Here is a 19,916-nt window from a genome sequence, read left to right on the forward strand (position 1 = left end):
GCTGATTGGGTAAGTAGCACAGAGAACTGCCTTGATTACAAATGACATTTAGAGGTTCTCTCTTGTACTTGGCCATTTTCTCTGTTGAGTAATCCTGAACAGGAGCTAAGGTGTTCATTCGGAATGCTCCCAAGAACAGTTTTATTGAACATAGGTTTTACTGAAACTGAAGCACCCAGCTATCTTTGAACCCCACAGAAAAAAAAAAAAAAAAAAAAAAAAAACTTCTTTCAGTAAATTAAGGGCTATTACCTGAGAAAGGAGAGCAATTGAGGCCCTGCCTCCAGAGGAAGAACAAAGCCTCCAGTTTTAAGTGCAATGGAAGAAATTGGGGCTCAATTTAGAGAGGAAAGCTCTGACAGAGAAGTCATTAGAGACAAGGAGGGAAAACCATCAGGAGAGCTTGATTGTGGCCACTCCTAATTCTCTTTTCGAACAAGACAGCTATTAATCTCTGCGATGTGCAAGTAGAACAGCAATCCATTTCAGTCCCACAATACCCTAATATGAAGAAAGGCCCCAAACCCAGGACTCCTGGAAGAAAATGTCACTCCGACACAAACTGCTCCCCAGATGGCCTGAAGTGATCGCCCTGTTTATGGTACCCCCTTAATGGCATGATGTTGCTAATAATACAAAGTATGGTTGGGGGAAAGTTTCTGGAGGTTTAGAACCTGGGCTTTGCAATCAGACAGAGGGGTCTTGGCTCTGCCACTTGATAGCTATGACGTGGGATTTTCATGAACCCGGAGTGAACTTACTATTTTTCCAAGGCCTTGAAATACCCTACACAATAATACAATATAGTCTTCTCCACCCAATTAAGAAAAAATAAAGCATGTTTTTATAGGTGGTAGCCAAAATTTCAAAATCAGAGATAGATATATATATAAAAATATATACACACGTATATATACATACCTATATATATATATATATATATATATATATATACACACATATATACATACATATAGAGACAGAGACAGCTAATCAGAATCCTTGTTTGAGATTTTCTTCTTAAAACTGAGAGGAAGTTAGGCACCCCCTTCCCCAACCTCTGCAGAAGTTGCAGGGTACAAGCTGTTGGGAGTTGAGAGCTTACTGCAATAGTCTGCAATGAGAATGGAGAAACTTAAACTGAGGACAACCGAGGCAAAGAAAGAAGGTCCTACAGGGCCTCAGGTCCCAGGTTCTAAGTGTTCTGAACTTGGCTGCCTGTGTGACCCTTTTATTATTTGGTTATGCAAACTTCCTTGAATTATCTAAAATGGCTGTCTGTAAACTAAGGGTCTACAAGACAAATCTGGTCAGCTTATTTTTGTAAATACAGTTTTATTAGGACATAGCCACAGGAATTTGTCTACTTCCAAATTGTCCACGGATGCTTTCACACTACAGAGGCTGAGTTGTGTCACTGGGACAGAAACCATATGAAAATGTTCACTATTTGGACCTTTACAGAAAAACTCTGTCAATCCTTGACCTAAAACAATTCAGAAGTCTTTCAATGATTTCTCCTTTTTGCCCAAGTTAACTCAGGTTGCTTTCTGTCGCTTGCCACCACGAATCATGATTAGATCAGTCTTCAAATTTCTCTTGTGCTTAGCACACCCAATGCACAGCTTACATGCTGTCCAGTCCTGTGCTAAAGCCTTTTGTCCTTTTTTGTGTTCATCTTCTCTTTATGATCATTCCTTTTGGTGCAGGAGTTATGCCATCCTGCTTTAGGTTATTAGTCAGGGGTTTCGCCATGTTGGTCAGGCTGGTCTTGAACTCCTGACCTCAGGTGATCCACCCGCCGTGGCCTCCCAAAGTGCTGGGATTACAGGTGTGAGCCACCATGCTTGGCCTGTTTTTTTTTTTCCCCTAAAGTTTTGGTTAACTTCCTCAAAACACTCTCATAATAAGCAACTGCTATCATTCTTTGGCCCTCCAGAGAGTCGACAAACAAAATGCCTGGAGCATCCCAAAAAACTGTTGCTATGCCCTTTGCTCTTGACCAGTCTGCTTTTGCATTAACCAGACCACCTCCATCTCTTACCAGCCATTGCTTTGATTGTGCTCTGTCTTCAGGATCATACTGAGGAAGCCATGTTTTTATCTCCTGTTATATTCTTCAAACAAATGCTTCAGGATCTTGATCCCATTTGTTTAAAATTTCCATTAAAAATTCTGCTCTTGTCTGCAGCTAATCTGGGCACAAGAGTTTTGGCACCCATCAAGTGGAGAGTTTGCTCAACTTTAATGTTTTAGTTACAACTGTGTAAGCTGAATCAATCGAGATGTCTACGGTGTTGGCTATCGATTCTGCTGTTAATCGTTGGTCCTCTTCAATTAGGGCATAAACTAGATTTTTTTTTTTTCCTGGAAAATTGATGTGGATGGGCTGCCACTGTGGGCTGTATCTTCAACATCATCTATTCCCTTCTTAAAATGAGTTACCCCATTGTAAACAGCTGATTTCTTTGTGACATTTCCCCCATAAATTTTTCATAAAGTGTCAATGATTTCACCCTTCTCCCAGCCAAGCTTCGCCATAAATTTGATGTTTGTTCTTGCTTCAGTTTTAGCAGAATTCATGTTTCTCTGATAAAGGTCCTTTTCCTTCTTAGTTCCTCAAACTAGATCCTGTTCAGACATGTTATAACAAATTAGCACCAGTTTATGTTGGTGCAAAAAAATAAAATCCATGCATAATTTTTTCATAATATGCATTTTCCATGAACTTTTTGAAGACCCCTCATAGGCCCTCCCTCCTTCCTTCACCTGTCAACTATAAAGGCAAGGCAGGAGCTATTTTCATTCATCTTCGGTTTTTCCCTTTCTTGGTGTCTAGTGCAAAGTAGATACTCAAAAAGCATACGTTGTATGTATCTTGAAATAAATTTTTAAATATTTCTTCACTTTCCAAAAGAAGACCAGTTTCCATGCCAAATGTTAGCAGGAGAGCCATTCCACCAAGAAACAAAATAAATCTTCAGTCTCTAAACATTTTTAGTACGATTAGTCTAAAACTGTCATTTCAAAGCATGGTCTATAAGCAGCAACAGCAGCCCCACCCAGGAACTTATGAGAAACAAATTCTCAAGGCCCCACTCCAGACCTTGTAAATTAGAAACTGATGGGTGGGACCCAGCAATCGGTGTTTTATCAAGACCACCAAGTGATTGTGATGCTCACTAAAATTTGATGCTCTAAAGCAAAAGCAACAGATCAGCAAACTTTTCTGTAAAAGCCAGATAATAAATACTTAGGCTCAGGGTCAAGAAAATCAAAGATAGTAGATAGTGTTTACATAACAAGAGAGAACACGAATTTTATAAATTTCCGACGAGCTTTAGAAGTATGTTATATAATATATTGTGATAATAATGGGATATAATTTTTTGTAATACAGGTCTACTAATTAAAAGAATAGAATATGTTTTTAGGAATAACATTTTGATTAATTGTAGTTCTAAGTTAATTTTTACTATTGCTGTGGTCTGAATGCTTGTATTTTCATCCAAAATTTATATGTTGAAGTCTAATCTCCAGTGTGATAGTATTTAGAGGTATGGCCTTTGAGAGATAATAAGGTCATGAGGGTGAAGCCCTCTTGACAGAATTAGTGCCCTTATAAGAACAGACTTGAGAGAGCTTCCTTCTCCTCTCTGATTTCTGCCATGTGAGAACACAATGAGAAGATCGCCATCTGCAAACTAGGACGCTGGCCTTCACCAGACACCAGATCTGCAGGCACCTTGATCATTAACTTCACAGCCTCTAGAACTATGAGAAATAAATGTTCATTGTTTAAGCCACCCAGCCTATATATCATAGTACATATTTTAAAGCAGCCCAAACTGACTAAGACAGATATCCTCAAATTGATTGTAAAATATTCTTCTTTAAAAACAACTATTAGTTCATAAGAACAGGCTATGAGACAGATGTGGTCCACAGGCTGTGGATTACCAACTGTTACTCTAAAGCACCAATGCCCACAATCAAGAGAGGGACCAAATATTCAGTGTAAGGTAGCAGAAAACCTTTGCATAAATTAGCAGTCTTCAACCGGGAATGGCTTTGCCTCCAAGGGACATTTGGCAATGGTTAGAGACATTTTAGGTTGTCGCAACTGGGGAATACAAGGGTGCGTGGGTTTGGGGCATGCTATTGTCATCTAAAGGGTAAAAGCCAGTAATGCTGTTAAACATCTTACAGGACAATCTCCTACGACAAAGAATTACCTGGCCCAACAAGTCACCAGTGCTGGTTGAGAACCACTGGGACAGAGACTCTCTGTGGATCACTGCAGGCCTGAGAACCTCTTTTTCACCTCCTGTCATATTTCTATACTATACAGGCAGGTGCTCCAGTCTTATTCCTATTGTTAGTTTCCAATTCACACCTGAACTAGATATCTTTAAATGTTTGTGCCAAGATATTTGCAAGAAGCAAAGCTTCTCTTTCGGAGTTTTCAAATTTTCATTATTGAGGCAAACTTAATGTCAACTCTAATACTATTTAATTTCAGAGCTATCCTTCAGAAGCAGCCTGGCGCCTATTTTCTCCCAGGAATAGCATCATGACGTTGGATATTTGTTGTAAGGAGGAAAACACAAAATGCTACTCAACAGGATCTTTGGCAAAAGAAAATGTCCCAGAATGTCCTAGGGTGTTGATGACTGTACAGGACATTGGAGAATCAAGAGGCCTTCAGTTTGGAAAACTTCTAATGATTCTAGTTGTGGAAGGGATGTAATAATCATCGATAACTTATACCCTTCCCCCATTCTTCCCTTTAAAATAGGACACATCAGAAGCCAAGACATTCCTGAACCCGCTACCTGAATCAAAGAAAAAGTGCCTCCCCTTCTCCATGGTGTGGTCTAAGTTCATCATTAAGCTACAAAATCATAGATTTGCTGAATCAGGTGATGGCTGGCAAATCAGTTGAAGTTAGGTAGCCTGTAGTTGAGGGTGGAGGAAAATATTGCTCTGTGCTAGGGAAATGTTAGCTAATATTTATTGATATTTACTACATGCTGGGCACTCTCCAAGTGTTTTGGGATATCCTATTATTTCATCCTTACAACAATCCTATGAGACAGATCCCATTATCCTCTTTTTACAGATGAGGAAAGAGGCACATTAACTTGTAAAGCCAGATAACTGGTAGAACCAGTATTGAATCTAGATATTTCTGACTCCACACTTGGGATCTTAAACATTATTGCATCATTAAGGCTTTCTAGATGCAATGGAACCACATCATTGATAAATTAAAAATTGGCTGGGTGCAATTTTTAATTGGTTCATGCCTGTAATCCCAGCACTTGGGGTGGCCAAGACAAAAGGATCCCTTCAGCCCAGTAGTTTGAGAACAGCCTGGCAACATAGTAAGTCACCATTTCTACAAAAAAATAAAATAGCTAGGCATGGTGGTGTGCACCTATAGTCCCAGCTACTCAGGAGACTGAGGTGTGATGATGATCACTTGAGCCCAGAAGTTTGAGACTACAGTGAGTTATGACGGTGCCACCGCACTCCAACGTAGGCAACAGAGTGACACCCTGTCTCAAAAAAATAAAAATAAAAAAGCTGACAAGGGGAAGAAAATTAGTTATGTCAATACCCTAAAAATATGCCAGCTATTGACCACTGTCTAAATGACTACTTGAAGGTGTACTCCAGATGACCAAGACTTAAATCCAAATGAAAATAGTCAAGAACAATGATATTAGTCACTGTATTAATGGCCCAGCCTAGTGGCCAGTAGAACTCCCAAGAAGCATAATGCCCAATTCATCACAAGGGTCCTAAGGAGAATTATCCCCTAAGTTAATTATACTTGGTTCTTCTGGCAACACTAATGAATGTGGGGGGGAAATGTAGAAAGCTAGTTGGCTCAATAACAATGATATCTGGATGAAGCCTAATAATAAAAATATTGCTTATAAGCCATTACCCGTTGTTAAGAGAAAAGCCTTATAATTAGATATTTCTCTCAAAAATACTTTACTTAGGCAGGTTTTCAATCAGATTCAGAAGCCCAAATAAATATTTCTAAAAATGTGGGAAAAAGAAAAACATATACAAGAATATCCATGTATGTATCTCTGAGTAAATGGACCATTAGGATGTGCTTTAAATGTTTATGCATTTTTCAAATTTTTTTTAATAAACAGGCACTATTTTAATGAAAGCAAACCTTCTAAATATTTAAATACAAAGCAAATAAAAAGCAAAGATTTATATCCTGAGATTCTGCTTATATTCTGAGATTTGAATGTACTAGTTTCAAAAAATAAAGTGATCTCTCTAAAAAGTAGTGTACCATTCACCTTAATAAACTGACCTGAGTCCTGAAATTCAAAGTATGACAGATTTTAATTTCATTTCATTCCATGAAAAAAGATAAAATAGCATACCTTTAGGAGAAAAATTTTATTTAAACGTGTTTCAACTATCAGTGAGAATAGAAAAGGAAATATTTATGAGTCTGGTAAAAGAAAAATAATTCTTTCAAGTTCTTAATGAAAGACACAACTTTAGGAGAATTAGCTAAAGGGAAAAAATTGCATAAAGAGTTGAAAAGAAGGATAAATTATTTATTGGCTTTCCTCCTGCAGCGCTTTCTAAACTTTAGATATGCATCAAAAGTTGCCTGAAGTGAGCTAACTTCCGTAGCAAATTTCCATTTAGAATTATATTGTAGGTTTCAAAATGCTCTTGTTCCATTGTGTGCATGTTACATGTGTGAAAGGGTGGTCAAGTACAATGGTAATCTTAATCATATAACCAGAGCTCTCTTGATAGGGTACATATGTTCCTGGAAAGATGTATGCAAATCAAATTTTATTTGAAATGCACTTGGGAATTCACCCAGCAGTGAATTATTTAGGAAACCAGTAATTCCTGGATAATATGAAAAAGAAAAACTAAAACACTAAATTCTCCATCTGGCAAGCTTAATTGTTTTTCTTATTTGCTTTCTTCCAAAAGAACATGTTTGGACAATACGCACAGAAACCCCTGACAAAATCCATTATTTGTATGAAAGGTTAGAGTTTTCAATTTAAGAACCAAGAACATTTGACCAGTTAGAGCAATCTGAGTGTAACTAAAAACATATGCTTCACCCTAGTAGAGGTAAAGCAATGCTTAAATACGTTTCCCGTATTAAAAATTTTCAGCATACAATTAATGTAAGACTGGATTTTCCCCCTTATGTTAATCAATGGCATCTGTAAGCCAATTGGCACCTATTAGGAGCTGCATGAGTTCCAGATAGCTTTAAAAGGGTAATTATTTTCAAACCACTCGTGTATTTTTAAATATTTAATTTAAAATTCAGAATAAAATTTGCCTCGTATGTTTGACATTTTGTCAGAGAAAATACAAATCTTCAAAACAATGATAATATCAACTGTGATTACAGCAAATTAGAATCACATCCAGTCTCCTCCCCTGGGGTGGTTTTGGGACCAAGACAAACACAGCTCAAGAAATTGAATTGCAATAACTAATTTGCCTTGACATTAAGCAAGAAAAATTGGAGGAGGCAAAGGTACCCGGGGTTACCTAAACCAGAAGCGCTGTTTCCTCAGTTCAGCTGACCGTCATTCTGTCAGGAAAAGTGAGGGATGTAAGAACACTGAAGATGCAGATCTTGGGTTGAGTAGATCACTCCCCAGTTCTGCAGATCAATACCTGAAATACTCACTGGGCCTAAGGGTGACCACTTGCTTGGGGCAGATAACGTCACATGATGTATGAGTGGGGAAAAATTCAGATCTTCTTCATAACAACAGCTATCGTTTATTATGTCCCTCTATTGGCACTCCTCTTGGGCAAGGCTTTCTGCATATTTACCTCATTTGTTATTCCCAACACTGTTCCAAAGAAGGTATTACAATCCTCATAGCAAACTGGAACTAAGTTAAAGGGACTTGCTCAGAGTCACACAGGTAGTGAGTGGCAGAGTGAGTTATTTTCAATCCATATCTGAGTCTCAAACCCAAATCTTTTCCAGTGTGTCAAGAATTTATAGCTAGTTGTGGCTGCCAGTCTCCAAGATTCCAAGATGTCCCCCAGCAATCCCCTCTTTGTGACATTCACACCCTTGTATAGTCCCCTCCCTATTGTACCAGGGTTGACCTTGGTGACCAATCACGTATGGCAGAAGCAATGGCATATCACCTTTGAGATGAGGCTGTAAAAGGCTGTGGCTTACCTCCTAAGTGTTCTCTTGTTCTCTCTCTCTCTGTCTGTCTCTCTCTCTCTCTCTCTCAGCCTTTGCTCTTTGGGAAGCAAACTGCCATGTTGCAGCAGCCCTATGAAGACACCTGCTGGTGAGGACCTGAAGCTGTGGCCAACAGCTGGCAAGGACCTGAGTTTGGAAGTAGATTCTCCAGCCCAGGCCAAGGCTTCAGGTGACTGCAGACCTGGACAATGGCTTGACTGCAGCCTCATGAGAGATCCTGAGTCAGAACCACCCAGCTAAGCTGCTCCCAAATTCCTGACCTTCAGCATCTGGGTAACATGTTTACTGCTAAGGTGCTAAATTTTGGAGTAATTTGTTACATATATAACCAATATATGTATGCAAAGCCTCGTATAAATACAATGGGAGAAATAAAAAAAAGCTTAAGAATAACATGCTCCTGCTAGCAGCTCTCAAGTAGCTTTGAGACAGAAGGAAAGAGAAAAGCATATATGAGGGTAAATCACAAATATTTTAGAAAATAATTCTGTGATCTTCTCTTGGGTTTTTCTGTGTGCAGCACCTTCTTCCTAATTAGCCCAAATTATCGAATCTGATACTTTAGGGGTATTGGGATTATTATAGAAGAGCTGCAAAGAGAAAGATTATAATTGAGTTTCCAAAATTCAAAATAGCATTTGTATGCAAGATAATTGGTCATAAGGCAGACATTGTTAAAAATGAAACAATTCTTTAAATTTCTTTAGCTCCCATTTAACATATCAAGGGCTAGTCTTGGCATATTAAATCACAGACTTTTTCCACAATATAGATAATATAATTTTCTACCTATGATGGCTTGCCCAGAGTCAAAAGAAGACATAGGAAAGGTAAAGGAAAATTCTAACTGCGGTGGACACCATGGTTCTCAGATAGTATGGCTTCCCAGGAAGCCCTTTCTGTCGGCCTTCTTAGGAACTTGCCTTAGCTGAAGAGTCATCTTGCCTGGGCTGTGCACCTTGGCAGGGCAGCTCCCATCCAATAACTGGTAGATGCAGGGCAATGTAAAGGCCTGTCCCTTTTGCCCCAACTCAGAATATCTCTGAAGGGCATCCCAGCTTCAGAGTTCCCTTAGGACTGTCTGGAGCCATCAAGATTGCAGCAGAGTACTCTACCCAGTCAGGTTTCCTTCCTGTGCCTTCCATAGGTGGTGATGACTAGAGGACTCCCTAATAAGCCTTCTATATATTCATCTATATCTCAGTATCTGCTTTCCAGAAAACCTGTGACAAGATCCCTTTGAGTCCAGTGGAATGTGGGGACAAAGTAGGGGAGAGGTAAATCTAAAATATCAGATTTATGTCCTAAAGCACAAAGCCTTGGAGAAGAGGGAGGTAGCTGATCAACACATTGCTGGCAGATGGCTTTGAGCCCAGCTTCCTATTTAGGACTTGGGAGCTCATCCTGCAGACCAGCACTGCCCCAATGCAGGGATCCCCCATATAGTCAAGAAGGCAGCACAGGAGGCTCAGCAAACAGATCAGGTTTGCTCTCCCAGGTTTCTCTGGGTTTCATTGCACAGGGAATGCAAAGCTGAGAGCCAACAGACCAGCCACAGAGCCTGCTAGGGTCAGCTAGGTGTGTGGGAAGAGAAGGCCCAGACCAGGGCCTGGCTGACGGATATAGCAGAGTTTCAGAGGGGTTTCTGGTCCCTAGACGTTAAGGGAAGTCTAAGGAGATAGGGAAGGAAGAAAAGACCCAGGAGAAGCTGGAAGACATGAGAAGGAGATTTAATAGCAGCAGTGGTGGCAGCAGCCAACATGAGCAGTGGATGGAAGCAGAATGTCCAAGTGTGGACCAGGCCAGCAAACCCAAAAGTCTAGCCCAGGGCCAGGTGGCCCTCTTTCACCCCAGTCCTATCAGGTCACATAAACCATTCCTTCCTCCATCTTCTTGGCCACCATATTGGACAGGAGGAGAGAAGAGAGCAAGGGGCTCTGAAGACTAATGTATTTAGCTGAGTCATCCAAGCAGAGCAGCCTGTCAGCCTCAGTTATGGTACTACAACTTTAATGGTTGCTGTGAAGGTTCCAGGAGACATTGTCAATGCAAAATGTGCAAAATGTACTTTCATAAAATGTATGTTTTTAAAATGTATTAGGTTATCAGGATACTTAACCTCCTGTCTTTGACATTTCTATTTTTGTAAAGACTTTGTTTTCAAGTGGACAAGATAATTGTTGATGGTTGGATACATATTAAATTAGATGAAACCTGCTTGCATAAGCATTCCTGCTGCATTGTATAACCTGAGAGCCAGCACATCTGCCATGGTGCCCCCACCATGATGTAGGTGTGGAGTCAGACTGCCCAGATTAGAGACCAGTTGAGGGCCTGAAGGAGATGAAGAGGAGTTGGTAGCCCTTAAGAGTGAAAGGGAGGCCAAGTCAGCCACCCGGTTGTGATTAAGAATCCCTGAATTTGTCTATGTTCAAAGTAGGATAACCATACACCCTGGTTTTCTTGGGATAGTCCCGGTTTTTACCTAAGATCCTCATGTTCCATCCAATTAGTATCCCCTTTCTTTCTCAAAAGTGTCCCACTTTAGATAGGAAATTATGTGGTCATATTAACTAAAAGCTATTTATTTAGAAGGAAATAATTATATATTTAACAGGAAATTTCTCTGTTTAAATAAGCCTATAATGAATCCTTTGATAAAGCAAATAAACATTAAACATTGCCTATCCCATTACAAAAGAGAGACTGGTTTACAGATTAATTGATTATTGGTTTGGACAGAGATAACCAGATGTGTTGCTTGGTTTTTTCCTCATCACAATATGTGGAGGCTTAGAAAGAGACCAGATCAGCTACAGACATGAAGAGAGCCAATTTCATCTACACGTCTCAATTGACTGAGAGTAAATTTGTAACCCCCTACATACACAAAAATTAGCCATCTTAGGCAGCTGATTTGGTACTGGGCAAGTGGTGCAGACAGGGGCTATTGACATTCAGAGGAGAAAGAAACCACGTGTAACTCTGATTGTCCTCAAGGCTTCATTTTGAGGAGAATGTGGCTACATCTTGAGCTCAAGAGAGAGGGAGGAGAGGAGCATCCACAGGCAGGGCCAGACCGCAGATCCCAGAGCCAGAGGGAGAAGGGACACGGAGGACCAGGAAGAGACAGGCTTGGCTGGAGCACTGGGCTGCTGCCAGGAACAGGGACACAAACATGGAAGGAAGGTGAGGACTGGATCAGGAAAGGGCCCAGGCCCAGGGAGATCCTGCCAGGTTTGGGGAAGACAGGGTCCTTTGGGATTGTCCGTGGGAGGTAATTTGAAATACTCTACTAGAGTTAGATGAAAAGATGCTGACCAATATGAGAGTAGGCATCAAGATGGCTGGCTTTGCTATTGCTTTAATTTAACGGTTTGAATAGGTAACATTCATATGGTTAAAATTTCAAAATGGACAATATCATACATAATTTTGAAATGTTTTCACTCTCCTTCCCAGCCACCCATTTCTTCTCAGAGGCAACCAATACCATCCCTTTCTTGCTTATTCTTCCAGAGATATTCTGTGCCATGCAGACCAAAAATATTCTCATTCCAATCCTTTTCTGGTTTACATCAATAGCAGCTTATGATATGCACTATTCTAACCTTGCTTTTTTCATCAAAAAAAAATCTTAAAGATTGTTCCATATCAGAAAATTAAAAGTTCCCATGTGTTCTATGCTCTTGTAGTATTCCATTATATGGACATACCATGGCATATTTAACAGTCTCCTATTAATGGAAATGTCAATATTTTGCTCTTAGTAGCAATGGTTCAATGATTGTCCTTACAAATTCACCATGGCACACCTCTAAGTACATCTGTAGGATGTTTCTAGAAGGGGAACTGCCGAGGCAAAGAATATGTGCATTTGTAGCTTTTTAAAATGTATTTTTAATTGACAAATCATAATTACATCTACAGAGTACAATGTGTTTTATGTATACAATGCGGACTGATTAAATCAAGCTAATTAATATATCCATCACCTCATTTACTTGACTTTTTGGTGATGATCTATTTGAAATTCACTCTCTTTGTTATTTTGAAATATACAATACATTATTATTGACTATTATCACCCTGCTGATGGAATCAACCTAAACATCTATCAATAGATGAATGGATAAACCAAATGTAGTGTATATGCACACAATGGAATATTGTTCGGCCTTAAAAAAAGAATGAAGTTCTGTCATGTGGGACAACATGGATGAATCTAGAGGACACAATGCTAAGTGAAATACGCATTTGTCATATCTTGAGACATTGCCCTCGGTGAAACTTGCACCAAATTGCATTCCCACTAGAGGGCCTGTTTCCTTAGAGCCCAGCGAGCTCCCTGGGTTGTCAAACTTTGATTTTTGGCCAGTACTGAGAGGTGTAGATAGAGAAGCACTGCTTACTCTATTTCTGCTATTTCCTGATAAGTAAAGGGGACCCCCATGGCTCTCTCCACTCCCTGGAAGGTAAAGTCATGTATTAGATTGGTCAATTTGGGAAGCATAACCTTGGTGTACTTCTCTCACCTCCTCCTCTCAGCACAAGCTGCCCCAGAAAACAGTTCCTTTTCGTTCCTGCCTGAAGCACAGGGAAGCCTGCCTCAGTGCACAGAGACTGAGGACACGCTGTCCCATTCTGGGGTTCGTTGGTGGCTTGTTTGGCTCTCACACTCAACCTCATCCTACAAATCCACTCTTATCAGTAATTAGGAGGATATTTCAGCCCCCCATCTGCTATTTCCTTCTTTTATTCCTTAACTTGTTCATCACTCAAGCAAGAAGAAGTTCAGAGACCCAAGTAAGAGGCTTACATTTTAAAAATTGTTATCTTACTCTGTCCTAAAAATTTACTTCTCAACTAGGCAAAATTACCAAAGACTTCAGTTGTTTACCCAAGGAGTATTTCTCCAAGTAGAGTCATCTGCCTTCAAATCACTGGGGAATGTAGGGATAGGGAAACTATTTAAAATGCAGAGTCTAGGCCCATCCCAGAATTTCTGAAATGAAATCATCAGAGGGCAAGAGGGAGAGAGGTGAGGCCCAGAAATCTTCATTTCATTACAAACTTCTCTAGAGGATACTGAAGCCTCATAAAGTTTACAAAGCATTACACTAAATAAAGCAGTACACTAAATTACTAGTCAAGAAAATCCTAGGTAACTTATGTTATTATCACGACCAAAGCTAACATATCACACAAAGTGAAAGAGACAGCTAAAGAAAATATGATCCAGGAGAGAAAACTTGAAATGTTAAGAACTTGCAAGTGCCAGCTAAGAATAATAGCAAAGCAATATTCATGAGGCTATTAAAGAAATAGATAAATAGCTTTCTGCCTCTGTTAGGGATGGTACTTCAAAGCTGAGTGGCATCAAAGAAGAGGGCTGAATAGGACAAATGAAAGCTGTGGGCTTCAATTATTTATTGGCATGGTGAAAAATGAAATTTGGGGGACTCAGAGCCTTCAACGTATTCTAAACCACTCTTGCCTGGCTAGATTAATTAGTATGTTAAAAGACTGGGTGTTAATTAGTTGCCTTTACACTGCTCTACCTACCCACAATACAACTGAGGAGTTATTATCTCCTACTTGTTAATTGGCTATTAACAGCAGGATGCAACTGCTTTGAAAATTATTCCCTTGAAAGTGCTTTAGGTCTCATGTTGAGAAATGTATCTGTGTACATGTTTGCACATGAGCAAAGAAATAGCCTAGCATGCCGATACTTCCTCATATTTTCTGAACTATGAAGTAGCTTTCATTCTTTGCATCTAATTGCTCATATCCATACTTCTAAATCAGATATGAACCAGCTTCTTGGCCAACGGAGCTTCCCTAGGCAGGAACAGAACACACTGCATTGGTCACATTTGTGTGATTTTATCCGATTTAGTTGAGTAGTTATCTTATTTATGTCTTTTTTAATTTATGCTATTAAATATAAATCAGATATAATTAAATATCATTAAATATGTTACATATAATAATATTAGAAGGTTTATGACTAATTTTTATGGAGGTAAAAACACATTCGCATGTGTTAACATAGTTTGATGTGACTTTACATCTCTATACACCTACATAACTTCTGCACATGGTGCCATTCCCAGAATGTTCTCTAGGGCCAATCCCAAGTCTATATCCAACCCCCAGAGGCAACTACTATTCTGTCATTTTGGCAATGTTGCCCCATTTTGAACTTGATATAAAGCCATATAATATTCATTCTTTTTTGGCTGACTTCTTTCCTCAACATAATATCTGTAAGATTATCACTAGTCTTGGGTTAAGTTTTACTAGCAAACCCTTAGCCAGGGGAGAGCTGGCACTTCCATGGGGAGAGCTGGCACTTCCATGAGAAGCCGTACTAAAGCAGAGTAGCTCATGCTTCATTCTGGGGACCATGGGTTCTAAGGAGTTTGCATGTGCTCCCCTCTGGAACAGGATGGAAGTGGCATTGCCCAGATGGAGTTTCTAGTAGCTCAGGAAGACGGGTGAGGCTAGCCCAGCTGGAGAATCATTTCCTCTGTTTTGACACCCTCTTGGCATTGAGTCCCTAAAAGCTGAGCACTGGCCTTGCCTCCATTGCACCCTTAATAAGCTTGCTATTCCCTACAACTGTGTTCAAAAACATCAACAAGCATCAGAATCACTTGTAGAGCCTGTTAGACCACAGACTGTGGGGTCCCAACCCCAGAGTGATTGATTCAATAGATCAGGACGGATGCCCCAAATTTGTGTTTTTAAAAAGTTCTCAAGGGTGATGATGCTGCTCTGGGGACCACACTTGAAGACCCACTGCTCCATAGCCGCACTCAGGACTGGGGCGATTATGTTACTTAGATAAGGCAGGACATTGCCTACTTTGGTAAGCTCACTGTCAAAGATGAGCAAAGTCAGACAGTGAAGTAGTGAAAAGGATTGTATTAGGTATCCACTGACCATAGGGGAAAGAGCTGAGCTCCAATCCAGTTTATGATTTGCACAGAGGTGACTGGACTTTTTAAAGGGAGAATGAGAGAGTAGGGAAGGGAAGATGTCCCAAGCAGAGTCAGGGAAGAGAAAAATGGCAAAGAGTTGATGGGTGAAAATGTAATTAGGCCAGCTGGCTTGGCTGGCTGGCTGGCTATTATGGAAGGTAGGATTTCTAACTCCTCACAGAGATTGTGAGACAGAGCCCCTATCTTTCTGATGATCACATTTCAAAGAATGGCTTTCAGGTCCTTGAGAAAGACAAGCCTACATTATAGGAAATATGTATACATGTCAAAGGGACAAAGGAAAAATTCACAAGCATGAAGTCCTTTTCAGGAAAGGGAGATCATGAGCCTCTCATGATGTGGTGTCAGTTAGAGCAAACAATTTCATATGACAGCCCTGAGCTTTTCTAGACAGAAACTGAAAAGGAGACTGGGTTATCCCAGGGACATGGCCTTAGGTTGCTAGAGGGGTTGACAAACCCCTCTAGCAGGGGTTCATCAGGTCTCATCAAGTCTCTTAGTGCAGGGGTTTGGAGAGTCATTATTTGCCAGGAGTTCTTTGAAGTTCTTCACCACCCAAGTGGAAAATGGAAACTCCCCAACACATACACTGGCCCCACTGACCCTAGATAGCTCTGGATTTTCCCATTCTCTTTCTTTCCTCACTGAGTCACTGTTTCTCATCTCTCTTTATATACCATGGCTTTAATGTAGAGGAAATCAAAACTAGCACTCCTAATTCTGAGGAACTTAAAAATGTACCCATAAATGCTAACCAAATGACTACAGCTACAGGATATTTACTGAGTACAATATCCCTATTGGTGGAGGATCCGGGTAGTAAAAAGCTATTTCCACCTTACCCAGGTCATCCTGTAGCAGAGGCTTTTAAAATGTGGTTTGTGGACTCCTGAAAACTCCCTCGGGACTCTTTCAGGGAGTCTTCAATGTCAAAATATTTTTTAATAATAAAATTAAATGTTATTTGTTTTTTGTTACCATGTTGACATTTCCAGTGACAGCATAAAAGCAATGGCAGGTAAAATTGCTGGTGCCCTAGCACAAATCAAAGCAGTGGGTCCACAATGTACTACTAGTCATTGCATTCTTCACTGCCATATATGCCCCATTTTTTTAAATGCCAGTTTTAACTAAGAAATTCCTTTATGAAGTAGTAAAAACAATATTAATTTTATTAAATCACAACCTTTGAGTACACGTCTTTCTAATATTGTGTGACAAAATGGGAAGGCTACATAAAAAATTCTGCTACCTAGCAAAGTTTAATAGCAGTTTCGTAGAAAAGTGTTTGTGTGATGACTTAAGTTACTAGCTAAACTAGCCACTTTTTTCATGGAACATAATTTTTACTGGAAAGGAGAAATGACAGACAAACTATAGCTATTTAGACTTAGATAATTAGTAGAAATTTTCTCAAAAATAAATGAAGAAAGTTTGTCATTTCAAGGGTAATAAATAATATCATTTGTTTTGCTAATTTTAAAATGGAAACTTTGTAGTTGAAATTGAAATTTTGGAAAACTCACATCTACTGTCATGAGTGTGACAGTTCTCAATATTTAAATACTTTATGAACTCAGCAGTGATATTAATAAATGTGACTTGACAATTTATTATATGAAATGAATCCACCTTATGAAGATGTATTTCAGAAGATCATTATTTTCCACATGGTCAATGTTGTTACAAAATCATGCATTATAAAAAAAAATTCATTCAAAGTGCAAGATAGACCAATAGGTTTTAATGTAACAGAATACAAAATTTTCATTGATATGGTTTCACATTCTACATCATTACTAACCTCTAAGAAATATCACTTGTCAAGTTTTGATGTAGTATGAAAAAATAGCCACAATTATCTGAAAAGCTATTAAATTACTCTTCCCTTTTCCACCCACATATCTATGTGAGACCAGATTTTCTTCATATATTTCAATCTAAATAACACATTATATCTCATTGAATGAAGAAGCACATATAAGAATATAGCTGCATTCTATTAGGCCAGACATCATCTAATTTAATCATTCATTGGCACATATACTCCATGTCATGCTTCCTGGGCCTGACAGGTCCTCTCTTTGATCAGACTTTATCAGCATAATTGAACACTGGAAAAGAAGCATTCTGAGGGCAGCCACTTGGATCAGAGGAAACAAACCATGAGAATGCACTGATGCAATTTTCAAAATACTTTGTTGAAATGCAAAATTGAAACAATGAAATATTTTATTACTTTAAAAAATGGCAGATGTTTTTATTATTATTATTACTAGGATTACTGTATATGCCACCCGGACAGAAATGCTTTCTTGAATATTGCTCATGGAAGCATTATTCAGCACAAACTTTCTGGAAGACTGGCAGTTATGGATGTTAAAATCCATACCTAATGTTACAGCACTGTAAGACTAGCACAGTTTCAGGGGTCACCATTCTAATTTACTTGGAGTTGACATCTAGGTGAAGTTGGCATGGCCAAAAGTAGTGACTCTACAAGCATACCCTTTGACCCAGAAATTCCACTTGTAGGAGCTTTTTCCTAAGCAAACGATTAAGGATACTTGCCAAAACTAAAGTCCTCATCACAACGTAACCTACAGTGGTGCAAAATGAAGAAAAGCATAAAGAATCCATAATAAATGAAGTAAATTAGTACATCTCTACCTCAATTACTAGGAATGAGATGGGAAGTGTATATTCAGTGACCTTTAATGACATAGCATTTAGGTATCATGTGGCTAAAACAGTATATATGAGAAAATTTGCATTAGAAACTGTAGTCAAACACATTTGAGCGTCACCATATTGTAGTAGTAAACTATGCAGCTCTGCAATCAGATTGCCTTGTTCAAATACAGGCTTTGACTGTTTTTTACAAAGGGGTTTTGGGTAAAGAACTTTGCCAAGTGGATTTGGAATGTGGTTGCTGCTTATAGTAATGAGCACCCAAAGAGAGTAGAGAGAGATAAAGAAGGGCTCCATTTTTCCATCTCAACAAAAACTCATGAGAACAATGTCTCTCCAAATCTTCCCATACCAGAGAATTCCTGGTTGGCTCCAGCCATGACTGCACTCAACAGCGTTCACAGCTACATAGCCACAACCTACCTCCTGGCCACATTTGTATCAAGATGCCCAGTCCATGTTGCTGATATTTACTTACTACTGGTAATTTGGCTTCTCTAAAGTTGACAGTTTGTTTTATTTGTATTTTAAAAATTTATTTGCATATCATCAGAGAGTATTCCTGGTTTGCTTTTGGAGCAAAATACCAAACTATAGACACAAAAATATCCCAGCAACTATTATCATTAGCTTGTTTTCCTTAGCACTGAAGTAACTCCCTGAAACTTGCTAGTGATTATTTGATAACAAGATCACCACGTTGTCTGTAAAATGGTGATCTAACTAAATAGGCTAATTTTCTCACTTTTTAGAAATTCTTCCCTGCTAGGTTATCCTGAGAATAGGACCTGAGCTTTGAAATCTGTGAAGAAAATTATTCCAAAGCTCAAAACTCTCCTTCACCATTACTGCAGGCCTCCTTAGCCCTGACCTTTCTCACTGGCACTGACTGTAGTTGACAGTGTTGCTGACTTTCCTCCTTGGCACTGGGGGGATGGTACTTCTTTGGCCCACTTGAGGTCAGGTGCAGCTAGGCCAGTTAGTTTGTGCAATGAAATGAGAGGAGGAGTGTATTAGTCTGTTCTCATGCCACTAATAAAGAATAAATTTACCCAAGACTGGGTAATTTATAAAGGAAAGAGGTTTAATTAACTCACAGTTCCACATGGCTGGGGAGGCCTCACAATTATGACAGAAGGTGAATGAGGAGCAAAGTCATGTCTTACACGGCGGCAGGCAAGAGAGTTTATGCAGGAGAACTCCCTTTTATGAAACCATTAGCTCTCACGAGACTTATTCACTACCACGAGAACAGCATGGGAAAGACCCACCCTCATTATTCAGTTTCCTCCCACTGGGTGCCTCCCACAATACATGGGAATTATGGGAGCTACAATCCAACATGAGATTTGGGTGGGGACACAACCAAATCATATCAAGGAGTAATGTGTCATTTCTGGGTGGAAGTTTTAATCCCCAGTGTGAAATTATCCACTGCTCCCTTTGCCCCAACACAACCAACCTTGATGTTCCACATGGTGGAGGCACCATTATCTAACGTTTTTGAGGGAGGATGACATGGAACAGCCTCCTAGAATGGGGAAAGATAAACCATTGTTGTTTTAACTCAGGAAACTTTCTCTCTAAAGGAGTAAAGAGTAAATATTTTCAACTTTGCAAGCCATTTGGTTTCTATCACAACTGTTTAACTCTGCTATATGTGGCACAAAGCAGTCTTGGATGATATGTAAATGCATGAGTGTGGCTGTGTTCTAACAAAACTTTACTTATAAACACAGGAAATAGCCAAATTTGACCCTGGATCATAGTTTCCTACCTGTTTTAAGCCACTGAAATGTTAAGGTTATTTGTTACCACAGCATAACCTAGCTTTGACTGACCAACAAAATAACAATAGGATTTTAGGGCAACATACTTGAAAAACAAGTTCCAGGCAGTGGCACAATTTATTATGGTGACTTAGATCATGGTAAAAAGTCTTTTGAAGTAACAGTCCTTTG

The 19,916-nt window shown here is 39.4% G+C and overlaps 1 long non-coding RNA gene across 1 annotated transcript in view; it reads right to left on the reverse strand.

Moving 5' to 3' along the window:
* Nucleotides 1–14,275: 14,275 nt before the first annotated feature.
* Nucleotides 14,276–19,916, reverse strand: part of LOC107984268 (uncharacterized) — a 31,907-nt gene continuing 26,266 nt past the window's right edge. Inside the window, exon 4 of the long non-coding RNA XR_001747587.2 lies at nucleotides 14,276–19,486. This is a non-coding gene — a long non-coding RNA (uncharacterized LOC107984268). The remainder of the gene's footprint in view (nucleotides 19,487–19,916) is intronic.

Source organism: Homo sapiens, chromosome 10 (genome assembly GCF_000001405.40).
Source record: "Homo sapiens chromosome 10, GRCh38.p14 Primary Assembly".
NCBI lineage: Eukaryota > Metazoa > Chordata > Mammalia > Primates > Hominidae > Homo > Homo sapiens.